We start from the raw sequence: 12,352 nt of genomic DNA on the forward strand, positions 1-12,352 counted from the left end.
AGTGAAAGAAGTCAATCTGAAAAGGCTATATACTGTATCCTTCCAACTATATGGCATTCTGAAAAAGGCAAAAGTATGGAGAGAGTAAAGAGATCAGTGATTGCCAGAGGTTAGTGAAGAAGGGGAGATGAATAGGTGGAACAGAGGATTTTCAGGGCAGTGAAAGCATTCTGTATGAAACCATAATGGTGGATATGTGTGATTACACTTTTGTACAAACCCATGGAATGTACAAAACCACAAGTGAACTCTAATGTAAACTATAAACTTTGGTTGAAAGATGATGTGTCAATGGAGGTTCATCACTTGTGAAAAATGTGCCACTCTGATGGAAACTGTTGATAATGGGGGAGACTATGTATACATCGACTTGGGGGCATATGGGAATGCTCTGTACTTTCTGCCTAATTTTGCTGTGAATCTAAAACTGCTCTAAAAAAAAAAAGTAAAGTCTACCCTATATAGAAGAAAAAGACAAGGCATTCCTCCTTTTGCTTTCGGAGGATGCCCTATTCTGTAACTGAATAGCTTTCAATATACTATCTCTTCTCACAGCAATCAATAAATAAATAAAATCTATTTAAAAGGGAAAAAAGCAAGTTGAAAATTAAAATAAAAACAATGACAACATGTCTTTAAAAAGCCATCACAAACTAATTTTTACATATATATTTATCTATCTATCTAACTCTATCTAAATATCTGGAAGGAGACAGTAAACTGATTATTACACCTAAGGAGGTAAGTGGGACTGGGGCATGGTAGAGTCACTGTTAGCTCTATCTCTGCTGTTTGATTTTTAAATGATGAGAATGTATACAATGTTACTTGTATAATTAAAAATAAAATTGTTTTTCTCTTTAAAATATTCACTTTATATTTTATGCTAAAGAATTTGACAGTAAATGAAAGATATGACATTTTACCCCTAAACACTTCCATATTCATCTCTAAAAAATAAAATATTTTTCTATCCCCAAATTATTTTTTCAACAGTAGAAGCAGAAAATATTTTCTACTAAAATACTGAGGTGGCTCAAGTTATCTGTTTCAAAAAGCAATGTGTAGATGGGCATATGAAGCATTAAAAAACTAAAAACTAAAAACAAAAACAAAAAACAAAGGTTAAAAAAAGCAATGTGAAGGACCAGTAAGCTAAGCTGTTCTCAAGGAAAAATCTAAACACCAAGTGCTGAGAACTGACTTCATGACTATTACATGGTCTTCCTAAAAACAACTTTTATATAATGTTTTACATTCTTACCTTTACTAACACTAATAATCTCACATACCAACAGGTCAAAATCTATTATTCTTATATTTTTTGCAGTCATTTGTATTACAAATGTAATATAATAGAAAAGCTTATCATAACAGACTGAGTGTCTTAAGCAGGGATTCATAATCTAGAATTCTCAGACCCTCAAGAGTTCACTGAATAAAATTCAGGGCATCTTCAAGCTTAGATGGAAAAATGAGATACATCTTTATTTTCACCAATGATTGAAATTTAGTATTTCTTTCCAGTATGAATGGAGGCTACAGATCACAGAAGCGTTCTCAGACCTGTGACTGTCAACACAGAAATCACTATATTTTCAAATGACAGTGTAGTTGGTGTAGGTATTTCAAAATATCATTTATTCTTATTCTTATCATATCACTGAAGGTGTATTACTTATTAGACTTGTTGCCAGATGTTACTTAATGCATTAAGAAGCACATGCTCTAACCACAAATTTGTTTTTAAATATTTTTATAACTATATTTCAACATAACTGGTTTGCTATAACCTTGTGAATTTTGCTTTGGGCACATATAAACAGTCTTTGTGGGGAAAGGGGTGTTCATAGGTTTTGCAAAATACCAAAGCTCAGGAATCCTTACAACTTAATCTCCTCATCCCCACAATTCCATTCTCCCAATCTAAGGACTATCCACAATACAGTGTATGCTCTTCCATACTTCTTCCTTTATATAGATAAATGTATATAAACATATAGGAGCATAACGTATATAGCATGTGTTCTGTAACTGCATTTTACACTTATATTCTGAATGCATTTACAAGTCTATATAATTCGGATATTCATGCTGTTTCCAGTTTTAGCTATCATAAACAATGCTGTAATAAAAATCCTTATATACCTCTTTTCATATACTTTTTTTTTTTTTTTTGAGATGGAGTCTTGCTGTGTTGCCAGGCTGGAGTGCAGTGGCACGATCTTGGCTCACTGTGACCTCCCACTCCCTGGTTCAAGCGACTCTCCTGCCTCAGCCTCCCGAGTATCTGGGATTGCAGGCATGCACCCCCAAGCCCAGCTAATTTTTGTATTTTTAGTAAAGACAGAGTTTCACCATGTTGGCCAGGCTGGTCTCGAACTCCTGATCTTGTAGTTCACCCGCCTCAGCCTCCTAACGTGTTGGGATTATAGGCGTAAGCCACTGTGCCTGGCCTCATATACTGCTTTTTAAAATTACATGATCAATTCTATTTATGGAATACTTGTATTAATAACAAAGACCCTTGAACTTAACAATAAAGTTGATTTTGTATAATAAAATCAATAGCAACAGTAGTTATTTTTTTGTGCTCACGATAGGCCAGGTACTAAGTACTTTACATAAATTAACTTTTTATTTTATTATTTGTTTGTTTTTAAATGAAGACAGGATGTTGCTCTGACACCTAGGCTGGAGTGCAGTGGCATGATCTCAGCTCACTGCAGTCTCTGCCTCCTGGGCTCAGGTGATCCTCCCACCTCAGCCTCCCAAGTAGCTAGGACTACAGGTGCATGCCACCACACTCAGCTAAGTTTTAAATTTATTATTTTTTAAAACCTCAAACAAGTTTTACTTTTGTGCTATGTTTGTTTTTTTTTTTTTAACTTTTAAGTTCAGGCTTATATGTCAGGTTTGTTGCATAGGTAAACATGTGTCATGGGGGTTTGTTGTAGAGATTATTTCATCACCCAAATATTAAGCCTAGCACCCATTAGTTGTTTTTCCTGATCTTCTCCCTCCTCCCTTCTCCCCCGCTCCACTCTCTGATAGGGCCCAAGTGTGTGTTGTTCCCCTCTATGTGTCCATGTGTTCTCATCATTTAGCTCCCACTTATAAGGGAGAACATATGTATTTGGTTGTCTGTTCGTGCGTTAGTTTGCTAAAGATAATGGCCCCATCCATGTCCCTGCAAAGGACATGATCTCATTCTTTTTTAATGGCTACATAAATTATTTTGTAGAGACGAGGTCTCACTATATTGCCCAGGCTGTTCTGGAACTCCTGGGCTCAAGCAATCCTCCAGCCTGAGTCTCCCAAAGTTTTGGGATTACAGGTGTGAGCCACCTCACCTGGCATGAATTAACTCATTTTTAGCCTTACAACTTTAAGGCAGGGCATTGTTACGATTTCTGTTTTACAGGTGAGGAAACTGAGGTACAGAATGATGTTCACTCTCTAACCTCCTGAAGTTTGTAATTCTGGTGATAAATCCCAACAAACAGGTGTTCTGGGGCACAAGCACCTTCATTTAACAAGGGCCCCATCAAGGTCACTTTGAAGGGGAATGGGAAAAGGTGAATATGCTGACTTACACTTTGTTATATCATTCATATCCGAGAGTGTGTCCTGAAACTCCTTGGAATTTCTTTGTCACTGTGCTTTTCAAGAAGTGTGTCAAAGATAAAAGATCACAGCAACTATTATCTACCACCTAATCTATTAGGCCAAAGGCAAGATGCAATATGTCTATGTGAACGCTCAAAGCACAAGTAAATTTGCCATCAGAGGCGGCAGCGTCAGAACAACCATTGGACCAAACATAGGGTATCTGCTACCTTAGGCCCAAACAATTTCACAGACAGCAAAAATAGACCATAAACCCAAAACAAACAAACAAAAAATGCCAACAGGTTAAATATAAGCATGTGTTAATGAAGACCCAATCTCAGCTAGAGGCCTGGTCTCCTCGGTGATAAGAGCATTATTAACCTCTCCCACATAATTCATCAAGGCCCCATGCTGGCCAGGGCGAGGCTAATCTCCCCAGTTAGCAAGTTCCAGAACAGACCAAGAGAAACAAAACCACAGAAATGGTATCTTTTTTAATTATCTGGACTCTGCTGAGCAGAGATAAAATAAATCTCGCTGCTATTCCGTGCCTGGTTTAACATATCCTGGCAATGAAACACCATTTAGCTTAACTGAGACAGGAAAGCTTTTTTCCCCCTCTTCTATATCAATGCTTGTGCTTTGGGCATGCACATGACAGGATAAATAACTGGAGTGCACAGTTAATGGAAATTTGGGGATGCCTGTCATAAACCTCAAAGCAACTTTGCCAATAAGACCAGCTAAAAGCACTAAACATCATTCAGCACTGAAAGCCAGGGAGCCAAAAGCTTTCTTCTCCTCTCCTGTCCTGGAGGTGGTGTGGGGAGGCTGTGGAATCGAACCATCCTGGGCTTAAATTTACATACTGTGACTTTGAACTAATTGTTTATCTCTCTGGCTCTCAGTTACCTCATCTGCAAAAAGGGTATGATACATTCCATTGTCACAGGACCGTACCACTGTGAGAATTTAATGAGGTATTTGGAAAGCACAGAGCATATGAATGCTTAATTCATATTAGCCTGCTATAGTATGCTATTTACTAATATAATAACTATAATTAGCACTGTGATTGGGAGGACAGGCCTGCGACTCAGATCCAAAAGCTATGGTATTTGCTAGCTGTAAGGCCTCAGGCAAGTTTATAACTTCTATCCACTCCGTTTGCCTCATCTCTAAAGGGGTAATATGAGGATTAAATAATAAAATGTATAGTAGCACAGTGCCCATCACATAGTAGCACTAAATCAACAGTAGCTGCTCTTGTTGCTATGTATCTAATGAGTCTCTCACAGCCATGCTGCATAAGGAAGGACTCTATAGCAATTTGGTCCCTTCCTCCCTGAAATTCTGATTAATATTAATCCCAGGAAAACCATGCTAGTAAGAATAATACTGAGCATCTCAGAAACACCCATGTAAGTAACTCAATCTGAGACTCATTCATTCATTCATTCACCCATCCTAGACATATTTATGGAGCAACTATGATGGACACTATGTATTTGCTTTGAGGGAATTCACAGGCTATTGGTGAGCTTGCAAACAGATCACAACTATACCATATACTATAACAAAAATCAGGAACAGCCTTCTGTACCCGAGTGATTGAAGTCCAAAAGACTTCCTGGCATCACACATCTGAGATAAATATGTTCATCTCATCTTCTGCCTTAAATTTTAAAAATTCTATCCCAAGCCCCCTTTTTTTTGAAATGCTACTGACTTTTTAAACATTTATCTGTCCCTTTCTTTCAATTATTCATACAATAGAAGAAACTTCAAGCATACCTTCATTCAATGTTTATTCAGCACCTGCTACGGGCAAGGCCTTGTGCCAGGTGCTAGGGATGTAAAAAGAGTGGAACACAGCCCTCCCTGTGAAGGGTCACAGCCTGCCTCTGAAGGTGAAATGGAAGCAGGCATCACAATGCTGGGTGATAAAGGCTAGGATGGCAACATAAGCTTGTGAGAGTGGGGTGGTGGTGGTGGTAGGGAATGGCTGGAGGGAGAGGTATAAAGGAATCCTGGGAAGTCTGGGAGCTTCTTAGAGGAGAGCTAGATATGAAGGGTAAGGGGGCATGAGCCAGGTGAAATGCGGGGAGAAGAAACAGCATGCATTCCACAAATGGGAGAATAGTATGTGCAGAGGCCCAGGGACAAGATGGAGCATGAGGAGTTGGAGAAATTGAAAGAAAACCAGCATGGTTGGCCTGCATGTGTAAAAGGTGGAAGGGAGTGGTTCAGGAGGTGGGCAGGGGCCAGACGGTGCAAGGCTTTGGAAGCACAGTCTGGGAACCTAGAGGCAGGCATGACAAGATAAAATTTACACTTGGAAAGATGTCCCTGGCTGATACATGGAGGGCAGACTACAAAGAGGTAGGGAGGCCAGTGAGGAGGCCACAGAGACGCTGAATACTGCTCGGCCTCAATGAGGGTCTTGCAGTCATGTTAGTGAGCTCCAGAAGAGCCTCCTCCACTGTTGGCAGACCATAGCTCAGCTCTTCCTCAACTTAGGAAGAGAGGGAAGGGGTGAGATTCAAACATCTGCCATGTGGATTTCTGTGTAGATTTCTCAAAGGGGACAGAAGAGTGGTTGTAACAACAACAATACATGGATCTCAAAAGCACTGAGAGCTGTGAGCACATTCTTCCCAAGTATTCCTTGCCAGGAGATTAAACAGGGCTCATCTTGATGGTTGCAAATCAGCAAAACAAAAAAAAAAATGCAGGAAGAATGTGAATCCCAATCCTATCCCACTCCAAGTGATGGTCCAGCCATGTGCTCCCATGGGAAAGCCCCACCAGCATAGAAAAGATGCCCCACCACCAGCTCCATCGCCACCAGCTCCATCCCCACCAGTCAAGAGAGGCGTGTGGGCCCTGTCAGGGGCTTTCCTAAAGGGTGGCAGGATGGGTGGAGGGGGGAAGTAAATGTCCCATCTCAAGTCATAGTCTTAGCAAGGGACTGGTCATGCAGTCGGAAGAGAGAAGGGCCAGGGAAAGCTGAAAACAATCTCCCATGCCTGTGAGATTCCACACAAGATACTCAACAGCTCTAAAGTTCATTTCCACTTCACTGCCAGAAGCAGAGGATAAACCTATTCAGAGATTGTAAAAATATTCATACTCTTTTAGCCAGGAATTTCATATCTCAAACTTTATCCAACTGATAAAAGAGATTACACAAACATGTTCCTGGATGCCCATCAGCATTAGTTATAATAGCGAAAAGTTGGAACTTATCTAAATACCCAGTAAAGGGTTGGTGGAATAGATTTAAATGAACACATTTGATAAAGTACTCTATCGTTATTAAAAATAATATTCTTACAGAATATTTCATAATATGACACGTTCATAATATAGTAAGTGAAAAATTCATGAATAAATTAATTTGTACTATAATCCTTTTTTTTTTTTTTTTGAGATAGGGTCTTACTCTGTCACCCAGCCTGGAGTGCAGCAGCACAATCACAGCTCACTGCAGCAACCTCCCAGGCTCAATCGATCCTCCCACTTCAGCTTCCCAAGTAGCGGCGACTACAGCCATGCATCACCATACCTGGCTAATTTTTTATTTTTTTTGTAGAAACAGGATCTCCCTGTGTTGCCCAGACTGGTCTCGAACTTCTGGGCTCAAGTGATCCTCTCGCCTCGGCCTCCCAAAGTGCTGGGATTATAGGCCCACTATGCCTGCCCGATCTCAATTTTTAAAAACTGTGTATGCTTATATAAATGTTAAAAGCTGGTTAAAAATATATATGCTCTTTAGGGATACATGTCCATAGCAAATTTATGGACATGCAAAGCAGAAATAAACATCAAACTCCGCAAAGCAAAGGTTTTTGCAAGGGTCTTTGGCATCACTGTTTAGGGCGTATTTCTTCAGTTGCATTGGTAGCTACATGGGGTTTTCTATTATCTTTATACCATTTGTATGTCTGAAATATTTCATAATGAAAAAAAATTAAAGGTTTGTATATAATGACAGGAAGGAAATACATCAAAATGTAGCTATGGCTTTGAGGTGGGATTGTCAAACTATTGTTCACATTTTCCAGTTTTTCTAGAGAACGTATATTCCTTTTTATTTTTACATTACTTTATCATTGGAGGCTATTTTTATTTCCACCCAGAGCTCATTTGTTTTATAAGAAAGAATGTCTGGTGCTGAGCTGTGCTCTGCAGCAGGAGCTCTGGCACCAAGGGCCTTTCCTGTGGTGACATGAGCTACAGCGTCTCTCGCCCATTAGAATTTAAACTAGAAAAGTGCTGTGGGGGAGGCAAGCTCCCTGAAACCATCCTACTCATATCCTCTGACGTGAGGGGAGATTCGTAGGTGGCTGCTGGGAGCCTTCTCCACTCGGCAGATTGCTCTCAAAAGTGTACGTTGCTTTTTATTTTCCCTCAGAAATAGTTTGTGTTCTAACCCACCAGGAAGTTGGGGGCCCAGTCAGGGGATTGGGTGAGGCGGTGGGAAAAAATAGTGACCGATTATATCATCAACTAGCATTGACTCTCCAGTCAGAATTCATTTTCCACCAAGTGCTGGGAGTTGAGGGTCAGAAAACAATTATTTGGAGATACGTCACCCATCACCGAGCTTTAAGACCCTTCCAGTTTCCTCTGTAAGAGAAACTCTTAACAGGGGTCTTGGCTGGGATCCATAAATCCCCTGAAATCACACATCAATTTTGTAAAATTTCCTGTGCTATCAACAGATTCCGGAAAGAGTTAAGTGATGCATCCCCCCAAACAATCGAGGATCCCTGTTCTGTAAGAATAACGTCAGTCATCCTGAAGGGTGTCTGAGTGATGATAACAAATAAACATTCTATAGGGCCACGGAATCAGGCTGCACAGTAACAGGTGAGTGGCCGGCAGGCAAGCAAAGTTTCATCTGTATTTATAGCCACTCTCCATCTTTCTCATTACCGCCTGAGTTCCACCTCCTGTCAGATCAGCGGTGGAGACTTTAGATTCTCATAGGAGCACACACCCTATTGTGAACTGCACATGCAAGGGATCTAGGTTTTGGCTCCTTGTGAGATTCTAATGCCTGATGATCTGTCACTATTGTTACCCCCAGATGGGACTGTGTAGTTGCAGGAAGGCAAGCTCAGGACTCCCACTGATTCTACATTATCATGAGTTGTGTAATTATTTCATTATGTATTACAATGTAATAATAATAGAAATAAAGTACACAATAAATGTAAAGTGCTTGAATCATCCTGAAACCATCCCCTACCCCACCCGGTCAGTGGAAAACTGTCTTCCACGAAACCGGCCCCTGGTGTCAAAAAGGTTGGGGACCACTGCTATAGGGCACTTACTTTTTAATCAAAGGGGGACATAGTCTGTGTTAATATTTCTCAACTTTAAGTCCCAGATACATTTCTTTAAAAGAGGTATACATTAGGCGAGTTCACTGTTTTGTTTTTTAACCCATCAACAATATTTATCAAGAATCTACTGTGTATCTAGCATTGGGCTGGGACTCAATGAAAACTTGAATATGGTCTCCAAAGACCTGTCCCCTCATCTGCAATTTCTTGTTCAAAGCACACATCTGGCGAATGTCTTACAACTTATTAAATGGAATAAAAATTGAGAGTTACTCATATTACTTTCCCAAACCCTCGCATCCTCTGGTATGAGTCATCCATTGGGACCCACCTTTTTTTTTTTTTAAAGATACTTTCCACTACACATAGAAACAGTCCAAAAACAACTCTTCAGTAATACTGCCAGTTAGCTCAGGGACAGTGACTCTATTAGATATCATCATTTAAATGCACAAAGATAAAGTTCCTTTGAGTAGCCCACAGAGGCCATTTACTTATTAGAGCAATTAATTTATTGGATTCAGATATTCATTTCACCATTGTTGCCTTTATGGCAAAACATCTTCTCCTGTGTGGCTCTATCTACCATTTAGTTCCATTCAACTCATCTCTCCTGAGTGCCTACTGGGAGAAAGTTACTTAAATTTAGTCACATTCCCTCCATGGCCACATCTAGATCTGTCACACCCTCTGTCATCTCCATATGACTGTAATGGTCAGCGGAATCTGCAGAACAGCAGTTTTCATGTTCCTCCAACAGCTTCTAGAATTCTTCCAACTTCTGCAATTATTATAATACTATGTGGCAATAAATGGTGGAAACTCAGCCCTGTTTGCCAAGATTCAGGAAAAATGCCAGGTAAATCAGAAATGAGTCTGTCCAAAGCTGAGTCCCTAAGCATAGGGATCGGCCATGTTGGTGGTAATGGGGTAGATTTATCTTCTATACAAGTCTCTTTAATGTGATAAAACATAACATATGAGATGGTTAAGAAAAAAGGAAATATCATCCGTAGCTGCACAAGGAGAAAAGAAGCCAAATTATCCACAGTCTTGTGACCTTGATGGGAAGTCAAGGCCATTGATGACAAACAAGACAAAAATCAAATCACAATTCATAATTGTAAATAGTCCTTTAATACAATGTTAGTGGTTCTTCGATAGAAAGCATCTAGAGACATGCTTTCCTGAAAAATGGATATCAATATATACTTGGGGGAAAATGTAAGACAAGGCATAATCTTAGAAGTGACCTGGATTGAAGTCTTGCCTGAGTCATTACACCTCCAGGGCTTCCACTTCTTTATTTGCAAAGTGAGGGGACTGGAATACATACATGGTGGCTAAGGGCTCTGTAAATTCTGACAGTCTTTAAATTCTGAAAATCTTTAAATTCTAAAAGTAAACTTCCATAAAATTAAAAAGATTCAAACACACAAAAAAATCTTGCTGCTAAGAGAAATTCCATAGACTTCACTTGTCAATAACAAAATATTCAATGAGTAAAGTAAAACCCAAAGGAACATCATCTTTTTGTCCTGTTCACCACGGCAACTTAGTAAACTGGCCCAACTCCATCAATCTGAGGGTCTAAAGATTGGAACAAACAAACACCACATGGTAAAACAGACGCTCAAGTACATTAATTAGAGCCAGTTCAAGCTCGCTCCATCATGGCTGGTTGCATCACAGAAAACTCTGCAGTAATTAAAAATAGCTAAAAAAAATTGTTCACATTGGTAAATAATGTTATCAGTTGAGTACCTAACAATCCATATCTAATGAGTTTCCTTTTCACAATGGTTTTAGAAGGGCTGATCCCAAACATTTTTTCTTTTTCTTTTTTAACAAAAGAAGAAACAGAAGTTCAGAGAAAGGAAGTGACTCGTCCAAGGTACACTGTTAATTATAGGTAGAGCCAGAACCATGACTCAGTTCTTTATTCCTAGCATGGAAGGCTTCTCATCTCATAAGAGTAGCTTTCATGGTCTCCACAGAGGAGAGCGAGCACGGCCTAATGTTAGACGGATCCACAGAACACAGTGGTTAAACCCCAGGGATGTGCAGATGATGAACTGACAAGGGGAGCCCAGGGAGGGCCTGAATTCCTACTCCACCCCCAAGCCCCAGGATAATGAGGGCATCAGAGGCCAAGGTAGGCTTCCCAATTGCATCAGTGGGGAGACACGGTGGCCACACAAAGAAAGCTATGAAATTAAGTATCCAAGGACATGTTCTGAAACAAAGCCAAGGAAGCTTTTCCACCTTGATCATCACCAATAGTCAACTACCAAGACACTTGAGCATCTTCTACAAACTTCTGATTTAAAAAGAAAAAAAAAATGAGGCAAATATTTGGTGGGTGCCCAGTATGTACAGGCAATGTGTTTAATATTCTCACTTTTATTGTTTTATTTGACCCCCTCCCAAATTTTGTCAGGTTAAGTCTTTTCATTCCTATTTTCCAGATGAGGAAACTGGTAAGGAAAGGTGTCACACAGATGGTAAGTACAGAATCTTGATTCAAACTAAGATCTGCTGATCCAAAGCCACTCACTCCACTATGCTTCTGGAGTCTTATTCTGGCCTTTGGGCCATCCGGCTGCCTGAGCTGGGCCAAGCCACTAACTTTCCCCCAAAGGGGGACAAACATCTGTTCCATCTTCTGGAACCAGCCTCTAAAAGAGTACACTGGTATTTATCTAGATTCTACCCAGATGCACTGAGTTCATAATTCATTTTATGAGAGAAAAGACACAGGCAATAAACAACTTAGCTTGGAAGTTTAAGTTGGCCACACAGTTTTCTCCAGTGAAATAAAATGTTTTTCAGTTAAAAAAAATTTCCCCCAGGTCACAACTTCCATAGTCAGATCCTGGAAGCCCACTTCAAGCACACAGCATATTATTAACAAATAACCTTCGGAGAAGAGAGATGCTCTCGGTGCCAGTGGGGGAAGAAAGGACTATACTTACACTTATGTCGAGACTGCAAAGGCTAACAGCATCTTCATCTTGGGTGCTCTGTTTCCGTTTTCGCTGCAAAACAAACGAAAAAACAAAGTTCAAAGGTAAGTAGGGGTTATGGCTTTGATTAAGGCAAGAAAAAAAGCAATCAAATAGCACATGCAATCCTTATCATTTCTACCATGGTACCCAAAACCTTTAACCAAGCTATGTAAATGAACACTTCTTTTTTTTTTTTTTTTTTTTTTTGAGACAGAGTCTCACTCTGTCGCCCAGGCTGGGGTGCGGTGCGGTGGTCTGATCTTGGCTCACTGCAACCTCTGCCTCCTCGGTTCAAGCGATTCTCCTGCCTCAGCCTCCTGAGTAGCTGGGATTATAGGCACACGCCACCACGCCTGGCTAATTTTTGTATTTTTAATA

General features: G+C 40.0%; 1 protein-coding gene across 16 annotated transcripts in view; it reads right to left on the reverse strand.

The window, feature by feature from the left end:
* Nucleotides 1–12,352, reverse strand: part of ARHGEF3 (Rho guanine nucleotide exchange factor 3) — a 351,849-nt gene that overhangs the window by 142,931 nt on the left and 196,566 nt on the right. For all 16 annotated transcript variants that reach the window (NM_001377411.1, NM_001377410.1, XM_017006503.2 and 13 more), the window contains one exon: nucleotides 11,942–12,004. In NM_001377411.1, coding sequence (NP_001364340.1) covers nucleotides 11,942–12,004 — 63 coding nt within the window. The remainder of the gene's footprint in view (nucleotides 1–11,941; nucleotides 12,005–12,352) is intronic.

Source organism: Homo sapiens, chromosome 3, assembly GCF_000001405.40.
Source record: "Homo sapiens chromosome 3, GRCh38.p14 Primary Assembly".
NCBI classification, from domain to species: Eukaryota; Metazoa; Chordata; class Mammalia; order Primates; family Hominidae; genus Homo; species Homo sapiens.